The 24,410-nt window shown below is 45.3% G+C and overlaps 1 protein-coding gene across 3 annotated transcripts in view, besides 3 other annotated features; it reads left to right on the forward strand.

Annotated features, from left to right (window-relative positions):
- RCSD1 (RCSD domain containing 1) overlaps positions 1-24,410 on the forward strand; it is a 78,465-nt gene that overhangs the window by 20,760 nt on the left and 33,295 nt on the right. The window lies entirely within an intron of this gene.
- Positions 5,648-5,842: a silencer, noted in NCBI's record as "fragment chr1:167625876-167626070 (GRCh37/hg19 assembly coordinates)". NCBI's record gives its function as "represses an EF-1alpha promoter that drives an FKBP-Casp9 reporter gene in an ReSE screen in K562 erythroleukemia cells {active_cell/tissue: K562}" and the evidence as "EXISTENCE:reporter gene assay evidence [ECO:0000049][PMID:32094911]".
- Positions 12,049-12,148: an enhancer, noted in NCBI's record as "active region_2048". NCBI's record gives its function as "activates an Ori minimal core promoter by ATAC-STARR-seq in GM12878 lymphoblastoid cells {active_cell/tissue: GM12878}" and the evidence as "EXISTENCE:reporter gene assay evidence [ECO:0000049][PMID:35858748]".
- Positions 18,668-18,727: an enhancer, noted in NCBI's record as "active region_2049". NCBI's record gives its function as "activates an Ori minimal core promoter by ATAC-STARR-seq in GM12878 lymphoblastoid cells {active_cell/tissue: GM12878}" and the evidence as "EXISTENCE:reporter gene assay evidence [ECO:0000049][PMID:35858748]".

Here is a 24,410-nt window from a genome sequence, read left to right on the forward strand (position 1 = left end):
CTCCCTCTGATGCCTCTCTCCATCTTCTCCCTGTGTCTTCACGTGGTCTTCTCTCTGTGCGTGTCTGTGTCCTCATCTCTTCTCATAAGGACACCAGCCAGGTGGGACCAAGGGCCATCGTAATGACCTTGTTTTAACTTAATTTCCTCTGTGAAGACCCTACCTCCAAATACAGTCTCATTCTGTGGTACTAGGGGTTAGGGCTTCAACATGGGAATTTCAGGAGACAGTTCAGCCCAGGACAATGCCACCAGCCTGGAGCCTCACTTCCAGCTGTGGGTGAGAATGGAAAAGTCACAGCAGAAGTCACCACACCTAACCACAGAATGCCACAGGCTCTGAACACCCGATCTGTACTGGAGTTCTGGGTCCCACCTTTCCCTTCATGCCTGGCTCCTTCTGTCATGCCTGCCCTGGGCCACATCCTAGAAAGAGTGTCCCAGGCACCAGGGCACACTGCATTCTGCGCTGGCACTGTTGCTATGCAACTCTCCTCGCACGCCGACCTGGGCCCAGCTTCCCTTATGTCACCTCCTTCTGGGTCGATAAACTCATGTCACGCCTTTCTAACACAGAGTGCAATGCTGTGGACTGTGACCAGGTGTCTTCCTGCCCTTCTATCTTCTTGGCCTGTTGCTCCTGCTGGTCCCTCTACCTGCAACACCTCCCTGCCTGTTCCCTGCCATCCTGCAAGTAATTTTGTTCCTGTTGAGCTCTTACCCTCCCAGGATTATTCCATTTGGGGTGCTAGGTCTTCCCAGCCAAGACAGAGGAGAAGAGGGTATAGATACAGGGAAAGCATGGCAGGGAACAGGGTGGGATGAGCCTCTGATAGGCCTTCTCCCCGCTGTTCTTGAGGGGGGCTGCGTTCCTCCCTGACCTCCACTCTTATCTGGGGGTTGGGTCCAGGTGTTTTTTCTCACCCAAACAGTTAACAGTGCCTTTTCCCACAGAAGGGCAGAAGCCCTATTTCCAGGCCTGAGATGGGAGGAGGTTCCCCCAGCCCAGGCTCCTGCCTCTGTTCATCTTTTTTTTTTTTTTTTTTTTTGAGATAGAGTCTTGCTCTGTCACCCAGGCTGGAGTGCAGTGGCACGATCTCAGCTCACTGCAATCTCTGCCACCCGGGTTCAAGCGATTCTCCTGCCTCAGCCTCCTGAGTAGCTGGGATTACAGGCATGCACCACCATGCCCGGCTAATTTTTGTATTTTTAGTAGAGACGGGGTTTCACCATGTTGGCCAGAGTGGTCTCAAACTCCTGGCCTCAGGTGATCTGCCAGGCTCAGCCTCCCAAAGTGCTGGGATTACAGGCGTGAGCCACCACGCTTGGCCTCTGTTCACTTTTCATTCCTCCTGGAGCCATGATTCCCCTCTTAGCATCTAGCCTGGAGAGGATTTAAGTTTAAAAGGAACTGGGCCCTTTAAAGATGAAACCTCACCGGGCCCAGATACTTGAGTGTATTTTCAGCCAGAGGCCTAGGTAAAGATACAAGCAGTTGTCAGGCTGGAAACAGGCCTGCTGCTCCCTCGAGACAGACCAACAGTTGCTGCCCCAGCAGAGGACACACATTTTCTAAATATTATTTTCTAATTACAAGAAAGTCAAACAACTTTAAAGCTAATGAACAGTACCTTTTTTGCCCATCGAATGCACCTCCAGTCTTTGTGAATTTGTATTGATTTGCTGTTATGTGACTCATCGCAGGGCACAAAGCATGGGGGATTTTTTTTTAGCCTTTTTCTTGTTTCATACACATCTCCATGTGTGAGAAATGTTGGATATTCGTCATTTGTAATGGTAGCATAGTGTTTTATTATGCTCCAGAATTTACTTTGTGATCCATAATTTACTTCAACTAGTCTTCAAAATTCAGTATTTAGATGGCTTCTAATTTTTCACTTTTATGTCATGCCACTGCTACAGGCAATTTTGAATAAACTGCATTCTTCTTTATTTTCTTATAGTATATTCTAAAAATAGAACAAAGACTTCTCGAGCTTTGGTTACACAGTTGCAGATTATTGTCTCAAAACAGAGTAGAATTAATCAAAGTGTAATGCTAACAGCAGTTTTTAAGGGAACAATTTTCGCCATAATCCTGGCAGCCTTTTATCATTATTACATATTTCTGCCCATCTCACAGTTGTGCAACGATACCTTAGAGTTACTTTGCATTTTATTAATGACTGTCAATGTCATGTGTCTTCCTAAACTATAACTTTGGGTTGGTATTTTCTCCCATGCTTTGGAAGTTTATCTCCTTTAGTTGCTTTCTGGTGTTTATTTTACACAGATTTCGCAGGTATAAACATGTTGTGTAATTTTCCTTAGCAAGCTTCTACCCTGGCAGCCCTTGCCTCCACAAAATCTGCTTTTATGAAAGCAGTGGTTCTCAACTCTGGATTCCTGTTAGAGTCCTGGGGGGAGAGTTTCTAAAATTTCAACACCTGAGGAACTGGGCAGACTGCTAATCTGATTTAACAGATGGAGATCTGCCTAGGCATTGTAGCCCAGTTACTTGATCCGGAAGACAGAGCCTCAGTCTTTATCCAGCGGCTGATGTCTTTAAACCCACAAATATTGCACACCTATTACGTGTTGGCCACTCTGCTAGGAATATGGGGATGTCAAGGTAAAGGCTAGGGTACCTACCTTCAAGGCGGGCTCACACTCTGTTAGAGAGACAGACAGTTCAATGTAGCAAGATAAGTGCTATGAGAGAGAATTGCATGGAGTGGCTATGATGGCATAACCCAGGGGAGAGGTCCATGAAGGCTTCTTAAAGAAGGCAGGAAGGAGCTGGATCTTGGATGATGAAGAAGAACTGTCCAGGTGAAGAGAATAAGGATCAAGGCATTTGAGGTAGAAGAACAGCATCTGCAGACACAGAGGCAGGAAAATGCGTAATAGGTTCAGAAGGCTGCAGGAAGTCCCTGGTGGGAAGAGCAGGGGCCTGGAATTGGACTGCCAGGGTTGAAACCCCAGCTCTGCTGCAGCTTTGTCACCTTTGTCATTTTGCTTCTCTGAGCTCCAATTCCACCTTCTACAGCATACGGATCATAATGCTTGGCTGGTTCAAAAGGTAGTTTTCAGGATCAAATGAGATCATCTTCGTTAAGCACTAAGCATGGTATTGGGCACATGGTAAATGTTTAATAAGTGTTGGCCATTATTGAGGAAGTGTTACTGTTTGGTGAAAGGGCCATGTACACAAAGTGGCTCCCAAATGCAGAAGGAGCTGAGCGACAAAGAAGTCCAGTGTGCCATTGGAGGGTGATTTTACTGGGGAACTTATGGACAGAAGTATGGTCTTGGGTGGCTGCACCATTACCCCTCAGACCAGGGATTATATACCATAGGGAAAGGGTACACGTGCTTCAGAGGGAATGGGTAGGAATTTGATCTAAGGGCAGGATTTAAGTCAGTACAAGTTTATCAAGGATGATTTTATGTAAGGGCAGGATTTACAGTAAGTTTGTGCTCTTACACAAGGAACAATACTTAAACTGGAAATTTCAGAGGCATTCCTGTAGCCAGGGTTAAGCAGAAGTCAACATAGTGCTGTGTTAGCCTCCATAGTTACCTTTCTGGAAGGAGAGATTGACAGGGGCCTTATATTCTCTACTAAGATGTTTTGATTATTTAGTAGGTAGTATATAAACCAAGAAAAGTCATGATGAGACTTATATTTGAGAAAGGTTATGTGGGCAGGAGAGGGCAGAATAGACAAGAGGAAGGAGAGCAGAAAGAAATCAGTTAGGTAACCATAATCTCTTCCCACAGTCGAGAGAGAGGTGATGGCAGCCTGAAGTTCAGTAACTACAGTGAGGATGAAGAGTCTAGACCAGAAATATATATATAGAAGACAGGACTAGGCTTAGTGACCTACTGGATGTGAGAAGGCAGGGGAGACAGAATCCGACATTACCTGATTGCCATCCCCAAATCTGCTCCTGAGTTCAGCTGGGTCCTGCAGACCCAGCCGTCATGTCTTCTCCAGATGGGCCTGTCATTGCTGCACTTCATGGCTCCCAGGGACTGACTTCCTGAGGTTGAGAAGGCTGTGGAGGAAGAGTACAAGGGCCTCTTGTTTCCGAAGCTGGATGGAGGCTGCACCTCTCCCGAAGGAAATGAGCTCAGCTTCCCCAAACCTCCCTCCTGCAAAAGAAATCTTAAGTTTAGACACTTGGAACCTGCCCCAAGACCCTCACTGACATCACCCTTAGGCATCCGGATAGCTTGTTAAAGCGTCTGGTCCAGGCCCATCTCTGCCTGGGGAGGGTTGGCCCACAGGAGAGAGGTGCTTTGCAGAGAGGAAATGGCTCAAACCAGATATCGCTTTGTTTGTTTTCCCTGTGAAGAAAAGAGACCATTTTTTTCTCTCCTCTTTTATTTTTTAGGGATCAGGGAGATATTTTTAATTCCTCTAGTTTCCTGCTGTCTACAGGTGTTTCCTATGGTGTTGCTGTCAGAAAGGACAGAGCTCGTCACATAATCAGCTTTGTTCCTGAGATTATCAAAAAGTCTCCCTGCTATGACCTGCGTGTGCCATCCCAAACCCCCTCTGGGCAAGGTGAAGGGAACACACCACTGCTGCATAACCTGCTCTGTGCCCTCCACCAGTCACCCTGGGGGGCAAGGCAGGGCTCTCTCTTAATACCAGCTGATAAGAGGTACAAAAGTGGAGATTAGGAGAGCAGGAAGCCCTTGGTCTCCAACAATACTCTGTGGTTGTTGAGTTCCTAGCTACTGCTAGGCAGCTCCAATAGAATCTTTGCTTCTCATACATAAGACAACTCTCCCATCCCAACCAGAGATGACAGCCCTGTAGAACCCGTGAGGATGCCTTCGCTATTGAAAAGGCAGAATACTTGTTCATTTAGGCAAGAAAAAATGTTATACATAAACTAAAACTTTGGGAAAAACACCATGTTCTACTTGCACCAGAGAAGCCCATTATGGGAAATCCTCTTACAAAGTGAAGAAACTATTAGTTAAACAACATAATCTCTCTAAATGTATCTGTTTACAATATACATGGATTTATGGAGCCTCACATCTGTCTTTTAGAAGCAACAGAACAAATATTTATTGAATATTTTAATTATACAGCCTATCTTTTAAAACCCTCACAGACATTCTGTGAGGTGGGTATTGTGGACTCATTTAAGAAACTACGGCTCAGGATGGTTAAGGGGTTGAGTAGCTGCTGAGGCGCAAGCGGAGGACTTGAACCCAGGTCTTTTCAACCTGTCTCGAGTTCTATGACATAATCCTCCCTAGAATTCAGTGAGGAGGTAATGATACCTTTGATATTATTTCATAGTAAGAACAATGGTATAATGATATGCATATAATAATTAAAAAGAAATTAATATATTAAACCAAGAGACACCTCCTTGTCGGGCAAATGGAATGCTTTTACTGGAATAAAATGCAGCAGGCAAACATTTTCTCCACTATTGAGGTTCTTCTTTGTTTTCCTTTTTTAATTGAGCAAATTTTTAAAATCAATAGATTGCATTTTATCTGAATTTTAATCTTGTTTTGAAAAATCAGATCATTTGGTGACACTGGGCCTTGAATGATCTTTTGAAAAATGACCCAATGTAACACAGGTAGACAGTGGGCTAGAGCTGAGGAACAGCAGCTCCATTCATTTGGATGGGGACAGGACAGGACGCCTTCCACATAGTCATTTACATTGCCTGCCCACCATCTAAAGGCACTGGAGTTAGCAACGCCTCCTCTAAATGATGGGAGAGGGAGGCATGGAAACAAGCTACAAAGCTGGGCCTGGATGAAAATGGGTCTTGCACATTGGGAAGCTCTCCCTTTTCCATCTGCTCTAAAGGGGGTCATTGCTCCCAAGAGTCAAGCTGCAGTCTCAAAATAGGAGCTGCTGTTCAGAATTTACATCACTGACACAGAGTAGAAAGAGAGTTCATAGAAGGGAGGATAGCTGTGTCTTGGTAAGAGTCAGACTGGGACACATTTTGAACCCACCTTCACTATGCCAGCATGTGACCCTGGTTGGGAAAGCCACTTTATCTCTATGCTTCCCTGTTAGATGGGACTGATAATACAATAATATCTACTTCATAGGGCAAGTAAGAGGATTAAGTGAGCCAGTGTCCATGATGTGCCTTGCACATAGTAAGCACTCAATCTATAGATGTTGATTCCTGTCCTGCTGGTTTTTTTCGAAACTGGTGAATACATGACTCCTTTGGAGATACAATCTGTTTATCACCAGGGATATAGATGGATCTATGCTTGTTTGTCCAAGACCTACAGAAAATCAGGGGTGTGGGGCCTAAAGAAAATCACCTATGTTCCCATTCTCTTTCTTTTGTCCTGTGATTTGGATTTTTAAGAGTATATGCTGAGATGACAGGGCCCATTTTGGCTTCAGATTGATCATTTGCTTGAGCAGAAAGCAGTTGCCAATAGCAAAGGGACAGCATTTTTAAAAATATGTTTAGGGCTGGCTGCAAATGGGGCAAATTGACCTAAATTTTGGTAAGCCTCATACTTCCTAAAAACAGCTTCAAGGTGCATACATTTAAATTTAGTAATGAAATATCCTTATGGGATTATTAGTAATTTCACCTCCTTCCTCCCCTCCCCTCTGGGCATCTGTGCCCAGTCCCCAGACACCCAGGACTTGGTTTTGATATGCTGAGCAGATGGACTGCTCACTGCAGCGTTGTTTTCCAGGTATTTGTTCCCCTGCTCAAATCAGACGTCCTGGAGAGCAGAGCTTAAAATTCTCATTTCAGCATTAAAATTTTTTTTCTTTATTTGATGTTTTCCATATTATATATCTTGACAACTTGCTTCCTTTTCCTTGAAAATATATCGTGGACAGCCCTACAAAATCAGTTCTAGTTTACTCATGCACACACACACACACACACACACATGCACGTTTTATTTTTGTTTTAATTTTTTAGAGACAGGGTCTCACTCTGTCACCCAGGCTGGAGTGCAGTGGTGCGATCCTAGCTCACTGCAGCCTCAAGCTCCTGAGCTCAAGTGATCCTCCTGCCTCAGTCTCTCGAGTAACTGGGACTACAGGTGTGCACCACCACACCTGGCTACACACACTTTTACATAACTGAGATGGTATGAGACACACTGGGTTTATGCAGCAGTGCTTTTCTTTTGGTTTGCTTCCACCAGATCAGCCCCCCTCCCTGTGTCCAGCCTCCAGAAACTTCACATATACCTTTCTGTAGGATACTTTACATTCACATAACTATATAAAAAATTACATATACATTGTGAGCATATGTGTACATAGAGATACACACACAAGGGGTAAGTTTTCTGGTTGTTGATTTATAAAACTAGTGTTATATAAACTTATCTGCATCTTACAATTCTCACTTTACAATTTTTCCTGGAAGTTGGAGTTTTTTTGTTGTTGTTGTTTGTTTGTTTGTTTTTTGAGATGAAGTCTCGCTCTGTTGCCCAGACTGGAGTGCAATGGTGCAATCTTGGCTCTCTGCAACCTCCGCCTCCTGGGTTCAAGCAATTCTCCTGCCTCAGCCTCCTGAGTAACTGGGATTACAGGCACGTGCCACCACGCCTGGTTAATTTTTTTTTTCTTTTTTTTGGAGAGACGGAGTTCCACCATATTGGCCAGGCTGGCCTAGAACTCCTGACCTCAAATGATCCACCCTCCTCGGCCTCCCAAAGTGCTGGGATTACAAGCATGAGTCACCATGCCTGGCCTAGTTCATTCTTTTTAATGGTTTCCTAATAACCTGTTATGTGGATGGGCCATAAACCATTTCCCTTTTTATGGTATTTTTTTTTTGTCTCTAGTGTTTTGCTGCTGTAAACAGTACTGCAGTTAGCCCCCATGGCTGTGTACGCTAGCATTTATGTCTATGGGGTAGATTCTCAGGAGTGTAGGGTGAGCTGAAGGGTTTGTGTAATCTAATTTAATCGATGTTGCCAGATTACTTTCCCAAAAGGCTGTAACAAGTCACATTTACTCCAGCAATATATCAATATATGAGGGTTCCTTATCTCCATTTCCCCAACCGCAATTGCTATTTTCCCTCCTCTCTCTCTCCCTCTCCTTCCCACCGCCCATCATCTGATAAGCATAAAAAGAAATCTTAGTGTTAATTTAACTTGCATTTCCCTGACAAGTACTATCGTAAGTTTGAGCATCTTTTTATGTTGATTGGCGTTTTGAATTTGCTTTTCTATGAATTGCCTATTTATATCCTTTGTTATGTATTGTTCCTGTCATTATGCGAGAGTGCTTTATATAACAGACATTACCTCATTTTCATCTGTGTTAGAATACTTTTCCAGGTCTCTAGTTTTCTCTTTACTTCTTTGATAGTATTTCTATATGTAAATAAGTTTTACATTTTCCTTTATAGTCAGGAGGTTTTGTTTCCTGGGGTTTTAAAATTTTAATAGTTTCTGGGAGTTTTCCCTTAGTTAAAAAAGGGAAACATTTATTTTAACACCTTTTTGGGCACACTCTACACTCTGCCACTGCATCCTATGTTTCAACTAAGTAATCTCAATTTGCCTTCAGAATGCCATGAACTGCAGAGCCAGGCGTGGGAATCCAGCAAAGCATGCTGGGAACTGTGATCACAGGCTCCCCTTGGACCACGTGTCCATTCCCTGGCCAGATCTTACAGCTGATACCAGTCTGGAATTTTTCTAGCTCCAGCTTTTAGCTTCTGTCATCTCTTTCCTCCCTTGTCAGCCCCCTCCCCCATTTGCTCCTTAAATGGAAGTTTTCCTTCCATTTTCTCAGCTCTCTTCTATATTTTGCCCTTCTCTCTGGTGGGATAGATGTGGAATGTCCCTGAACTCGCCATGCCTCTGCTCCAGGGCCTCCCAGGGTTACAGGGTCTTTTCCTGCCATCTTAGCCAGGTCACTCACCCTTCCCTGGACATTGAACGCTCTCTCCAAAAGGATGTCTGCATCACTGTGAGGGCTGCCCACGTGCCTCTTTTTTGCAATCTTGGTTTGCACGTAAGAATTCAGGACAAGTGTTTTCTCTTAAACTCCTCGTCATATTTACCCCTTCAGGATAGATTCCAAATACCTTGGCTCCATGCTTAATAGCTTGCATTTGTTGAACACTTGTCTGTGTGCCAAGCTCTGTGTTAAGCATTTTACATGTGCTCTCTTGTTTGACGCCTATGATGTTAAGCGTTCCTATCCTCACTTTTAGATGAGGCCCCTGATGCTTACAGAGGTTGTTACTTGCCCAGGGTCACATAAGGAACAGAGTGGAGATGTCAGTCAGACACTCCATCTCCAGAACACTGTCTATAATCACGTTTTGATCACATCTGATCCCCATCCTTACCCCATCACTTCTCCTTCCTGGGCCCATAGCCACAGCCACACTTAACAACCTGTGCTGCTCCTTGGGCTGTGAATCATGCCCCCTAGAGTTACAACCTCTATACCATTGGCTCCTTAATTCACTGTTTTGTTTTTTTTTTTTTAGAAACAGGGTCTTACTCTGTTGCAGGCTGGAGTGCAGTCATAGCTCTCTGAAGCCTTGAAGTCTTGGGCTCAAGTGATCTTCCCACCTCAGCCTCTTGAATACCTCTTGAATATGTAGGACTATAGGTGCATGCCAGCATGCTGGGCTAATTTCTCTATTTTTGTGTAGCAATGGAGTCTCATTTTGTTGTCCAGGGTGTTCTTGAAGTCCTGGCTTCAAGCAATCCTTCTGACTTGGCCTCCCAAAGTGCTGGGATTTCAGGTGTGAGCCGCCGTGCCCAGCTTTAATTCACTCTTGCATTTGATATACCCTGGTTTCATATTTCCCTAACTGGTCTGTCAACTTCAATACAGAGGAACTTAATTTCTCTATAAACTCCTCCCCACCACCAAATTGTTGGTTGATTGTTTTTTATTTTTCAGGAACTTCCTTTGGCCTCCACCAAAATGAGGTTTAGCTAAGAATTCTGTAGGGACACTGAATCTTCTTAAATCTCATTGCTTTCAACTAGGGGCCTAAAGAAGTCCCTGCTTGATCTTGACTATCAAGCATGTTCTATCCCCAACATGGGCCTGCCCCTAACCACATTAAGTAAAATCAGTTGAAAATAGGAATAATACATATTGGGATTTCCTTATTTTTAAATAAACATTGGTTTATAAGGCACTTACCATACACATTGTGACTTATCTTCATTATAATCCTATGTAGTAGATATCATCCCCATTTTACAGAGGAAGAAAATGAAGTCGAGAAAAGATAGGTAGCTTGTCCAGGGTCCCTGCCGTGAAGTGCAGGTCTGGGACTAGACCCTGCACTTCTAACTCCACATCCTCCCCTGGTGGAGTCCCTGGTTGAGGGCCTAGTTCTGGATCTTCCATGCCAGCCTGTGCTTGGACGTTAGGCTGATCGCAGACAGACAAGCATGGGCCAGTCTGGCCTCACTGCCAGCACTGTGCTGACCCTGGGGTGGAAATGAACACCATTTCTGCTCTCTGCTTTCTGTAGGGATCTAGAAGGTCCTTTTGCAATCCTGGATCCTCTCTGGGTGTAGTGGCTGGAAGCCACTAAGAGTGGAGCCACCTCTCCTGCAAAAGCCACAGCAGCCACCATCCTGGGCTCCTGGAGGCCACTAGGAAGTGGATGTGGATGTGCTGAGGTGGTGGGATAAAGTACTGCCTGGGCTGTCCACAGTTCCGCTGTCGATTAATATATATAAAATCTTGTGAGTCATCTGCCCAAATAACTACACAAGGAGCAGATTGGCCAGTATCCAAAAAGAGATTCCTCATGCCTTTGGTGGAGGATAGTACAGATGCTGATGGGAGTGTAGCAAGAGAAGATTGGCTTATTTGTATCTTAGATCTTGCATTCATTGCTTCTTGGGCTGAGGGGCCATTATATTTCTGTGCTCACTATAAGGAGGACCCTTCTTGGGTTTCCCATGAGGAATATAATGCACAGATTGATCTGTGCAGCAACCTTGTATGTTAACCTCTGCTTAGAGTCTGGGAGCCCCCTGAGGGAGTGAGGAGTGCCCCAGTCACTCACCCTAGGGGATTAGTGAAAAGCCCTGTCTGTATCTATTCCAAAAGCTTCCCTAGATGACCCATTCTATTCTTAGAGCCCCTGCTTCCTGCCTTGACCCTTCCTGCTTCAGAACCATGAGGCTTTCAAGCTGGCCAAGGGGCTGGGCCTGTGCCCTTGCTGTAGCAGATGGCAAAAAAGTAACAGGAAAGAAAACAAAATCTTCATTCCATCTTTTATGACTTTTCTGATGAAACCAAAGTGAAGGTTATTTTTTCCCTAGCTGGGTAGCAGCAATCCCCTGGGGTGCTGGGGGATTGGGGTGTGCAGGCAGCACACTCGTGTGTGTATGTGGTATATGCAGGCTGTCTTGATCTTGCTGTCTCTCTCTTTCTCTCTTTCTCTTTCTGCCTCCTCATTTCTTTTTTTCTTCTCCCCGTTCACAATTATACTTCTTCTGGCCTTGTGTCCCTTGATCATCTTGGTCACTGTTCTTCATTACCAGTTTTTCATCCACTTTCCTCTATAATTGCTTGTGGACACCTCCTAGGCTATTTGAGCCATGCCATCTGCTTTCCAGAAACTCTCCTTTTCGAAAGAACGGCTGGCCTCAGCTTGCTAATTTGGAATAAAAGGACCGTATCATATTGGGCATTTTATTCCTGATTTAAGAAAGGCAGGGAGTTCCACTCCTAAAATCTTCTTAGGAAGGAAGAGGAGGAGGAGGGATGGGATTCTTTACTTGGAAGAGCTGAGTGTGAAGATGTTGGGGCTGTAGCAAGCGCTGGGTTTGCTTGGCATCCCTGAGTTCCCTGGCCGAGTTTCTTGCGATTCTGCCTGAACTTATTTAGGTTATCCATTATCCACCTCTATTTTCATCTACATAAGAAAGATAACCCAAGTTTTCCCAATTTTCTTCTTACGTTATGTTAAAAATGAAGAGCAAGCCAGCAGCGTGGGTCTTAGGAAGCGTCCTTTGCAAGCCCCTCATCTCACAGATGAAGCAGAAGGTCATCAGGGCCAGTGAGTTCACGCCGCTCCTCTGACTGCTGGGTCAGTGGCCTCGCCTGCCTCCCAGCTGCTCAGCTCTTGAAATGACTCATCTGGATCTTCCCTTCTAACTTTGCAGGACAGGGCTTGTCTGCTCAGAGACTTAACCCCGTAGTCCCACTCCCTAGACCATTGTGTTCCCTGGAGAACTACTCAGGCCATTCACCCACAGAAGCCTTTGAGAGCCCCTGCCCTCACTTGAGAAATTATCCCCATCAGGCCTAGACCTGCAGGGGCAGGCACAGCCCTCAAACTGTGGCCACACCCCTGAGGCCAGCTGCACTAGCCAGCTGCACTGGACTTGCCCTTTATGGCCCCTTCATACCATACGCCTGGGTAACGGCAAGACCCTCCCCAACCTGCAGAAGCCACAAGCAGTCTTCCCTCTGAAGGCTGATCCTGACCCATTACCCTACCCCACAGCCTGGAGACATCCAAATGACCCCAGCACACAAATGGCCCTTCTCTGAGAGAGTGTCCTCATGGCTGGAGGCCAGAATCACACTCCAGCTTGCTCTTGTGGTTCCAAAGACTCCCATTTGTAAATTCCTCCGACATGAAGATGCAATGCCAGCCCATCTGCTCTGCCAACCTATTCTGCAAGATGGGAATGAAAATGACTTGGCAACAGCAGATCCCTGCCACCCCCTTAGAATTCTTCAGGGCCAAACTGGCAACAGCCTGGTATCTCTACGAAGAGTGCAAGGGAGCCCACATTTTGACTAACACCTACTGTGTGCCAGTTGGTATCTTAGGTGACAACAACAATAGCTAAAATGAGGGGAGAGCTTATTATGTGCCAGGCACTGTGCTGGGGCTTTATATGCAATATCTCATTTGGGCTTTATCACAATTCTAAAAAATAAGTGCTATTATAAATGTTTATTTTACAAGTGGGGAAACTAAGGCTCAATAAGGTCAAGTGTCTTGCCTAAGATCACACATCTAGTAAAAGGCAAGGTCTGGATGTGAACCCAAACTGTCTAATCAAACACCATCTCCTAGTATCCCCATGACCTTGTAGGGGGTGTTATTATCCTCATTTTACAGATGAGAGTCTGAACAGTTAAGTCAATTGCCTAGGATCCCACAACCCGTCAATTACAGAGTGGGATCCAAACCTGGTCTTGCCAAGCTCCAAATTCTGTGCTGTCTCCACTATCTTGCTGCATGAGTCCTGGCAGCTGCCCTGGGCTGGACAGGAGTGGCTGGATGTGGCCTACTCCCAGCAGCTACCAGAGGCTGCCAGCCTCCTGCAGCCACAGCGCATTCCTGCTCACGCCCTGAGGCACACAGAGCTGGCATCCTGAGACCAAGCCAGGTTCCTAGCCCTAGGGCAAATGAAAGACCTCCTGCAGCCTGAGTGCACCTCAACTTTTGTATTTGAACTATCATGAGCACTTTAAAATGTTTTAATCACCTTTTTGAGGTAAAATATATCTACAATAAAATTCACCCCTTTTAAGTGTATACATTGATGAGTGTTGACAAATGTATACAGTCATATAGCCACCACCACGAGATGTAGACCATGATCAAGGTATAGAGCATTTCTGGCTGGCTGTTATGGCTCACGCCTGTAATCCTTGTGCTTTGGGAGGCTGAGGCTGGCAGATCACTTGAGGTCAGGAGTTTGAGACCAGCCTGGCCAACATGGCAAAACCCTGTCTCTACTACAAATACAAAAATTGGCCCAGTGCAGTGGCTCGCGCCTAGAATCCCAGCACTTTGGGAGGCCAAGGCGGGTGGATCAACTGAGGTCAAGAGTTCAAGACCAGCCGGACCAACCTGGAGAAACCTTGTCTCTACTAAAAATACAAATTAGCCAGGCGTGGTGGCGCATGCCTGTAATCCGAGCTACTCAGAAGACTGAGGCACGAGAATCTCTTGAACTCAGGAGGTGAAGGTTGCAGTGAGCCGAGATCGTGCCACTGCACTCCAGCGTGGGTGATGAAGTGAGACTCTGTGTCACCAAAAAAAAAAAAAAAAAGAAGAAGAAGATATAGAGCATTTCTATCACCCCAAAAGACCCTTCACACTCTTTACAGTCAATTCCCTGCCCCCACCACTGGTCCCACGCAATCAGTGATCTTCTTTCTGTTATTATAGTTTTGCCTTTTAAAGAATGTTATGTAAATAGAACCATACGGGAAGTCATTTCTGTCTGACCTCTTTCACTTAACACAATGCTTTTCAGATTCATGCATGTTGCTGTGTGTATCAGTAGTTTGTTCCTTTTTATTGCTGAATAGTATTCCATAATGTACGTATAACACAATTTGTCTGTCTACTTACCCATTGATGGACATTTGAGTTATTTCTAGGTCTCAGATATTAATAATAAAATTTCTTTGAAGATTTGTATACAAGTATTTATGTGAACATAAGCTTTCATTTCTCTTGGGCAAATACAAGTAAGATTGTTGGTAGGTGTAGTGTAGGTGTATGCTTAACTTCACGAGCAGCTACCAAAATATTTTTCAAAGTGACTATACTGTTTCACATTCCCACCAACAATATAGGAGTGATCCAGTTGTTCTGCAGCTTCACCGTCATTTGGTATTGTCAGTTCATTTTAATTTAGCCATTCTTGTGGGTGTGTAGTGGTATCTCTTTACAGTCTTAATTTGTGTTTACCTAATGACTAATGTGCTTATTAGTGATTCATATGTATTTTTTGGTGAAGTGTCTGTTTAAATCCTTTGCCCATTTTTACTATTGTCTCATTATTAATAAATTTGATGAGCACCTTTTTTTTTTTTGAGACAGAGTCTCACTCCGTTGCCCAGTCTGGAGTGCGGTGGCATGATCTCCACTCACTGCAACCTCTGCCTCCCAGGTTCCAGAGATTCTCGTGCCTCAGCCTCCTGAGTAGCTGAGATTACAGGCGTGTGCCACCACACCCGGCTAATTTTTGTATTTTTAGTCGAGACGGGGTTTGGCCATGTTTGCCAGGCTGTTCTCAAACTCCTGGCCTTAAGTGATAGGCCTGCCTCAGCCTCCCAAAGTGCTGGGATTACAGGCGTAAGCCACCATGCCTAGCCAAATGAGCACTTTTTAATCCCAAAACGTAAACTCTCTATGCTTTTCCTGCTGGAGGCAGTGTGGAGTTGTGGTTGGGAGCACAGGCTTTAATAAACCAACTGAGCATGGGTTCCAGATCTCCCATCAGTAGCTCCACAACCCATAATTCAGTTACTTGGGCTCCTGAGTCTCAATTCTCTCATCAGTAAAAAGGAGATAATTATGAATCCATGTCACAGAGGTGTCATGGGGATTCAATGAGATCATCTTAGCACAGTACCTGGCACAATAATCATTCAGTAAATTAGCTGTTTTATTACTGTTGAAAAATACATTATGAAAGCCTACTACTACTCATTCAAAACCAGTTTCTAAAGAGAGACAGTGAGCAGGAAGGAAGTGTAGAGAGAATTCCTGAGTATGCGGATGATGCTAGTTACAGAGGGGACTTGCCACTCCCCACACACAGGTCTGAATTCTCATGGGACCATGACGGAAAGCCCTGGAATGCTTTCCGTCAGCCCTGGGAGGGGACAGTAACTGTGAATCAGCCCAAGGCCCAAAGGGAGCATCCAGAGGAAAGGGTGGGTGGAAGAGAGAGGGCTGGCCATCAGCAAACCTCTGCAGGCTGAACACCCAACAGTCTTCCCTGCCATGCCAGGAGCCTAGCTGCTTTGCTCTGTAAAACCTAATAGAACAAGCTTGTCCAACCCACGGCCCATTGGCCACATGTGGCCAAGGGGGACGGCTTTGAATGTGGCCTAACACAAATTCATAAACTTTCTTTAAACATCATGAGTTTTTTAAGTGTATTTTATGTGTGCCCTAAGACAATTCTTCCACTGTGGCCCAGGGAAACCAAAAGATTGGAGACCCCTGCAATAGAACTTTCAAGTGAAGCAATTCAACTCAGCTGGATGGCTTTTGTTTCTTTTCCCTTTTTGTAGCAGGCTGGTGAGAGGAGATGGAAAAGTTTATTTTAAAAACTCAGCTCCAAGACTCCTTTTGGTCCCATTGTAGCTGAGTAGGCTTCAAGGGAGGGGGCCGCCTCATTGTAGCTGAGTAGGCTTCAAGGGAGGGGGCGCCTATCCCGTACTTTGGATGGAGCCCTCTTGATATACTAGAGACTGTGGAATCCTGCCTTGAGCATCCCTGGGCTGCAGAGGAGCCCTTGGAAGGGGCTTGGAGGCATGGAGCCTCTCCCTTGGTGACTGAAGGCAGATACTGAGACCGGACCAGAGATGTGGACTTCAGAACTGGGGCAGACACCATTCTACTATATTCATAATATATTAATTCTACCTTCTGCATTATAACTTTCTTTTCTTCAAATTTTCTCCTTGCTGAAATGGATCTGAAAATATCAAGCAGCAAACAGATATATTCAACCACTCTAGATAAAGAAACAAATTTTAAGTATTTTTGATGTGTCATGTTCTAGGATAGGTTGGGTTGTTAAAACTGGAGAAGACAGATACCCATGGATAGAGATATGGAATTATAATAGATTTCATAGCTCCAGTTAGAGACAGGAGGCTCAGATTGTTAAGTAATGGCTTGGGCAGGAGAAAGTCTCATTCTTTGCCCTTTGGTTACTATTTTAGGGAGCTTGGACAAGTCACTGAACCTTAATGAAAATATTCAAGCCTGGTATGCTCAGAGCCTCCCTGGATGACAATTTGTTTCCATTTTTGCTTCAAGGTCCTGATCTATATTTATCAATCCCTCACAATGTTGCCCCAGTGGTATTGGTTTACGGAGGCATCATTCATTTATTTGTTCATTCATTTACCGGCATTTACTGAGTACCTACTATGGGCTAGGGGATGGAGCCATGAATAACACATGGTCTGTGTGCTCAGCAATTACAGTAGAAAGAGAAAAACATGAAAAATGTGGGTATTTTAAAAGCTCTCGGGCCAGGTGTGATGGCTCACACCTGTAATCCCGACACTTTAGGAGGCCAAGGCGGATGGATCACCTGAGGTCAGGAGTTCAAAACCAGCCTGGCCAACATAGTGAAACCCCCGTCTCTACTAAAAATTAGCAAATTAGCTGAGTGTGGCACCTGTAATCCCAGCTACTCGGGAGGCTGCGGCAGGAGAATCGCTTGAACCTGGCAGGCGGAGGTTGCAGTAAGCTGAGATTGCACCAATGCACTCCAGCCTGGGCAACAGAGCAAGACTCCGTCTCCAGAAAAAAAAAAAACTCTGTGAGTTCCAGCCACATCTTCTTTCAGTTCCTCAAACACCTCCTGTCTCTCCTCCAGGAGGTTTTTGTGTAAACTCTACTCAAATGCCCTTGGCTACCTCTGGCCACCCTCTGACTAACCCTCCTTACCCCTCAAACCTCACACTTTGCCTGGATCACTTCTACTGACCTCAGTTTAAATGTCACATCTTTGGGTCAGATTTTCTTGTCACCTGCTCTCCTAAAACCCTTTTCCTCTTCAGCATTTATCACCCTAATAAATAATAAGCTGGAGCTAAGATAATAATGGCTATGGAATATATGTCTCCCCTACTAGACTGTAACCTCCATTATGAAAGGACTCTTTTGATTTGGTTCATTCCTAAACCCTGAGCACCAACTGCAGGGCCTGGAATACAGAAATAATGAATGAATGAATATGTCCAAGATGTACTAAAAAAAAAAAAAAAAAGAGGGAGCTGCCAATTCTGCCTGAATGGGGGAAGGTGCATGGTGGGGAAGGGGAGCTTCACAGGGGGTTTTCTGGAAGTGCCCAGGGTGAAACTGTGCTTGAAGGAAGCTCAGATGTCAGTTTTTCAGATTGTGCTGTCTGTATATCTAGGCATTCATAAATACTTTCTAGAACTTTGTGTAGTGTTTTGCAAATGTAGTTAAACAGATTTGTGAATTCAGTAATTTATAAAAACTTAAGCTTGTGTTCTTCTGAATCCCTTTATTTTTCTTCTGCCTCCGAATTAGACACTTCCCCTATGCATTAATTCCAAGTACAGTCAAAGATTAAGTAAGGAAATGATGTGCATGAAAAAAGTTCTGCATGTTTGCTAATAATCTAATGACTGTGACATCTAAACACTGGAAACACCTTGATTTATGGATAATAGGGCTATCTAGAATTTTCAAGGGATCATGGACAAATAATTATAGGCAATTTGATCAAGTGACCATGTAAGACCATTGGTGCAGATACAGACTGATTAAAGTGGAAAAAGTTCTTTTTTCTTCCTAGCTTCCTGCTCTGCCATTACCTTGATAATGTGAGCCAAGGCCTATTGGCCTCCACAGGACAAGCCCTAGGCTGTAGTCTGGGCTTGCTTGAACCTGCCTGACCTGTCACTTCAAGGCCAGCCCTGATCCTCTGAGAATGGGCCTGGGAACCATCAGAAATTATGTCTATTTGCAGCAGGCAGGGCCTCTTTTGGTCTCCAGCATAGCCCTTGCCCCATCTGCTCTTTTCACTTTACATGGAGTACTAGGCAAAGTGGCTTCCTCTTTGGGTTTTGTTACATACTTTAACCAAGACTGTGCATGCAAATGGCCTGGCATGTACTCGGTGCTCAGGATGTTGCAGCTACTGAATTATTATCATTGATTTCTTCTGCGTGTGACCTGGATCCACAAGTCAAATGCAAAAATTTGTCTTGACTGATGGTCCTCTCCTGTCTCCCTCCAGTACCCCCTCTTGAGGCTTGCAGGGGCAGGGACCAGAGGGCCCAGCACCATGTCCTGCTAATGCTCACTCCTGACTGCAAGGGAGTCAGGGTTGGGAGACGCTGTAACAGGAGAGGCTACAGCTGACTGGGATGCAGACCGGGGGCTGGGTCCTTAGGAAATTTGTTCTAATCTTAGAAGGTATGCCCTGGCTTCCTGCTGCAGCCTGAAGGACAAGTGTCCCAGACCTCAGGACACACACGCACACGCACACTCACACTGTCACTTGACTCCTGCCTGGGAGGCAGGAATGGCCCCTAGTGAAGGGTACTTGTGTGGGCCTCCAGGTGGCTGTAACATACCCCAGGACTCCAGGCAATCCTGGAAAGGTGGCTCCTGGAGACCAACCACCCTTCAGACTCAGAGGAGCTCTCTGTGAAGTCAATTTTATTATTGAACTAACCAACAGTAGAGAGTCAGAGTAGTGCATAACAGGGAGATTCTGAACTTACCTTGGAGAGTAACAAATCGTACATTTACTTGTTGGCTTAGGTGAGTAAATCCATCTAAATCACCCATGCCAGCTATGAAGAGACACTTCTTTCCCACTCTTTCCCTTTGCAAAAGAAAAAAAAAAAAAAAACCACTCGAGCTGTTCAGAGGCTGCCAGACTGACAAGGTTGAGTTTGATCGGCAGCTCTGCCCCTGCATGCCTGCTGGTGGGAAAAGGAAAGAGAAGACAAAAATGGTTGTGTGTAACCCCCTGAGGCATTGCTGCCTTCTGCCTCTTCATCCCAGCACCCTCTCCATCTCCTCTGCAGCCTTTGCTCACCCTCCCTGTCTTCAGCCTCTGCCATCACCTTGTAATTTGAGCCAAGATTCACCCTCAGGTTTGTCTGACTCCACAAATCCCAAGCAGGTGCTTCAGGGTCTGCCGTGGGCCCTCCACTCTGGCAACTCACCCTTTCTGAGCACTCCTCCAGTCCTGCTCCTCCCCTCGGCTCCCCCTCTCTGTAAATGACACTCCTCTCCACCCAGAAGCCAGAGCCAGAAATCTGGGCATCATCTTGACTCCACCCTGCCCCACCCATCAGTCCCCAATTCTGGTCAGTCCTTCCTCCTAAATTGCTTTTGAGTCCTATCAACAATCTCCCCTCCACTAACCATACCCCCATCCAGGCCATCATCCTCTCTAGTTTTAAAGACTCCTGAAATCAACAGAATATTGACTCCAACCCTGTGGATCCAAGCCATCCTTAAGATCTCTACTTATTTTCAGATGGACTTATCTGCTCATGGTCACCACTGGGCCCAGTTTTCTGCCTCTGCTGAATCCCTATTCTCCGTTTTCTTATAAAGAGGGAGCCTCATCTGCTCTGCTCTGATGAATCCCTAGCGCCTGGCCTAGGGTCTGGCATGTTGTAGGGTCTCATTAATAGCCACTGAGTAGTTCATTCAATAAACTCCACATCTTGAAGCCATTCCTTTACTCCTCTAAATGTGGGCTATGCTCTTGATTCTCACTCTACATGTCTAAAAAGCACCCACAAATAGAAGGCTTCTGCACACAGTTCAACTTTTACTGAAGGTCTGCTGATACCACACAGCTAACAATTCTAAATCAAGGATTTGAGATCCTGATCCTCACAGTCCTTTCAGCCATCCCATTGCCAGAGGTTCTTTCTTTCTTGCCATTTCACCCCGGAAGGGGCCAGCCCTTATCCATTTCTCAGCTCTCCTTACTCCTGCTCTCCTCCACACTCACTCTTCCCAAATGCAGCTCCCAATTCCCTTGGCAGATCCAGACCCCACAAGAAGCTGAACCCAGTGAAAAGATCTTCTGCCACCTTCTGCAGGAGACAGCATAGTTGTCAACTTGCTCATTTTTTACCTTCCATGATAGTTGCAATGGCCTCTAGACTGGGCTCTCCACCTCCTGAAGACCACTCCTGAACCCCAGGCCACACATGTCTTACCCTGCAGCCATAGGCATCTTGCAAAAATAAATCTGTGGTTTTGCTTTTTGCTTAGAACCCTCCAGTGACCTCAGATGGCCCTCAGGCCAGAGTCCCAACTTAGGCAGCCTTTCATGCTCTGGCCTCATCTTGCACGCATGCTTACATGACAGAACTTGTCATTCCCTGAGGCTCCCCTGGCCTTGAACTCCTCAACTGTGCAGCTCCCTCGTGAGAATGACCAGCTCTGCTTACCCTTCAGGCTTGGCCAGTTTGTTACTTCCTCCTGGAAGTCTTCCCGGGTGCCTCTGGCCAGGTTGTGTGCTCCTGCTGTGCATTTCACCATGTCCTTCTGCAATCATAGCACCCACAACTCAATGTCAACTCCTCCTCCTCCTCCTCCACCTCCTGCTCAGAAGGCCTCTTGTGACCTCCCTTGCAGAGGTGGAGGCTGACACTCTCCATATTAGCACCACTCACATACTATACATTCACTTGCTTATTTGTTTACTGCCTAGCTCTCTCCACTGGAATGTGAGCTCCAGTGATAAGCAGTGACTTTCTCTTCTTCCCCACTATGTTCTCAGAACTCAGAACACATCGTGGGTGCTTGCAAATACTTGACCGACTGACTGTATTAGTTTCCTATGGCTGCTGTGACAAATGTCCACCAACTTAGTGGCTTGCACTATATGAACTTATTATCTTAGAGTTCTGGAGGTCAAAAGCTCAAGATGGACTAAAATCAAGTTTTTGGCAGGGCTGCATTTCTTCTGAAGGGTCTAGGGAAGAAACCATTTTCTTGCCTTTTTCAGCTTCTAGAGGCTGCCTGCATTTTTGCTGGTTTGTGGCTCCTTCCTCCATCTTCAAAGACAGCAATGGTGGGTAGAGTCTTTCTTGCCTCCCATCACTCTGACTCTCACTCTTCTGCCATCCTCTTCCACTTTAAGGGCTCTTGTGATAATATGGGAGCCACTGAATAATCCAGTCAGCTGACTGGCAGCCTTAATTCCATCTGTAACCTTAATTCCTCATTGCCATTTAATCTAACATATTCACAGGTTCCAGGGACTAGGATGAGGACATCTTTGAGGGCCATTATTCTGCTACCATACTGACTGACCTATCATACTTTACATACTTGCTTAATTGTCCCTGTTCCACAGTAGGCCATAGACTCCAGAGGTATAGACCATGCTCATCCTGTCCTTCTCTGTGTATGTCTCATCCAGGGTGCTTTCATTCATTGTGTCTTTAGAGCCTCACAACTATCCCGTGATAGTTGGGATAGGTAAGGCAGGTATTTTGATCCCATTTTACAGATGAGGAGGCTGAGACTGCAAGAGCTCATGTGATCTGACACTCAGGAAAGAGGCAGATCCAAGACGATGCTCGGGACTGACCTTGCGTTCTTACCAGCAAGCCTCTGAGAGCTCCCTGCATTAGGCAATGGGAGAGCATATGAAAGATAGCAATAAGCATAATTATAAGAAGAAGAGAAGAAGAACAAAGAAGAGAGGAGGAGGAAGACATGACAATGATTCCTTTTTAACAGCACTGCCTTAAAAGAGTAGCAGCAGATTCCCTCCATTTGCCCAAGGTTTTCAGAATGGATTGAAACATAGATTGATAACTATCTGCTTCCGCGTAATCCTTCTAAACAGCAAATCAGATAACTTCCCTCATCATCTCGGCTTAAGAAATGAAGTCCACATGTTGCAGCACAGCCTCAGTATAACAGCTTTCACCAAGCACTTCCCATGTGCTCAGTGGGCACTTGAGGTATGAGCTGGCACCGAGGAAGCTCACAGTGAGTGTTGGCTATGATGGCTGTTATCATCTTAGATACTCATCACCACACAATGACACAGGTATTGCCCACCTCATTTTACAGATGTTGAAACTGAGACTCAAGAAATCAAGTGACTTACTCAAGGTCACCTATATAGCTAATGAGTTCTGGAGCCTGAATTATAACTTGCATATGCCTTACTCTGGACAAGCCACATCTTTCAATTTCTCTACCTTTCTTTTTGCTTAGACCATATTGAACTAAAGTTTCCCATAGACATCATGCCCTTCCATGCTTTTGACACTTTGCGTGTACCAGCCAGCCCCTGTGCCTACAACATGCCTTCCTCCTTCTCCCCTCATGCCCACCTTCTCTCCTAGCAAGCTGTTATCTGTCCTTCAAGACTCTGCGTAAACATCACTTCCTCTGTGAAGCGTTCCCTGATTCACCTAAGCAGGTTAACTACCCCTTCTCCTGAGCTTCCATTGCAGTGTTATGCATTTCCCAATTGCAGCAATGGCCTGTTTTCATTCTGATAGTTTTATTACAAGTCTGCCTTTCAACTAGAGTAGAAGCTCATTGAGCTCTAGGACCATGAAACTTCATCTTTACATCCCCACATCTGACAAGTGTCAGGCCCATAAGGTGTTCAATAAATATTAACTGAATGAATGAATAAGTGAACAGCCATGGACTGAGTGCCCCCTCAAGCCAGACCCTTCACAGGTACTTGACATGAAACTCACCCTGTCTTCCTCACAGACCTATAAGCCCTCCCAGTGGTGGGTTGGAAGAGACTGCTCAGATGTGTCTGCAGCTGCAAGGCATGCTGGAGGCAGGGAAGGGCTGAGCCTGTGGGTGGAGGGTGCTGAGCATGAGGGAAGGAAAGTCACGAACATGGAAGTAAAGCCAATTTCCCTCCATTGGCCCCTCCTACCCACAATCCAACAGACTGGCTGTAAGGACCTGACAATTTTTAAAAATAACAGTTTTATTGAGATATCGTTTACATACATGTCACCTATTTAAAGTGTACAATGAAATACTTTTTGGTATGTTCACAGACTGTGCAACCACCACCACAGTCAATTTTAGAACATTTTCATCACTGAAAAAGAAGAAAGCCTGTAGGCTTTAGCTATCACCCCACCTCCTGTCTTCCTATCTCCTCTAGGCAACTATTAACCTACTTTCTTTCTCTCTGAATTTGCCTATTCTGGACATGTCATAACAATGAAATCACATAATATGTGGTCTTTTGTGATGGGCTTCTTTCACTTAGCGTAATGTTTTCAAGGTTTATCACATTTACTATGTATTAGAGCTTCATTCCTTTTTATAGGTGAAAAATATTCCACTGTATGGCTGTGTCACATTTTGTTTCTCCATTTGTCAGTGAATGGACATTGTATTAGTCTGTTCTCATGCTGCTAATAAAGACATATCCAGCCGGGTGCGGTGGCTCACACCTGTAATCCCAGCACTTTGGGAGGCTGAGGTGGGTGAATCACAAAGTCAGGAGATCAAGACCATCCTGGCTAACACAGTGAAACCCCATCTCTACTAAAAATACAAAAAATTAGCTGGGCCTGGTGGCACGTGCCTGTAGTCCCAGCTACTTCGGAGGCTGAGGCAGGAGAGCTGCTTGAACCCAGGAGGTGGAGGTTGCAGTGAGCCGAGATCTCACCACTGCACTTCAGCCAGGGTGACAGAATGAGACTCCATCTCGGAAAAAAAAAAAAAAAAAAAAAAAAAGCATACCCAAGACTGGGTAATTTATAAAGGAATGAGGTTTAATGGACTCACAGTTCCACATGGCTGGGTGGGCCTCACAAGCATGGCGGAAGGCAAAAGAGAAGCAAAGACACGGCCTACATGGCGGCAGGCAAGAGAGCTTTTGCAGGGGAACTCCCCTTTATAAAAC

The sequence above is a fragment of the Homo sapiens genome, chromosome 1, assembly GCF_000001405.40.
Source record: "Homo sapiens chromosome 1, GRCh38.p14 Primary Assembly".
NCBI classification, from domain to species: domain Eukaryota; kingdom Metazoa; phylum Chordata; class Mammalia; order Primates; family Hominidae; genus Homo; species Homo sapiens.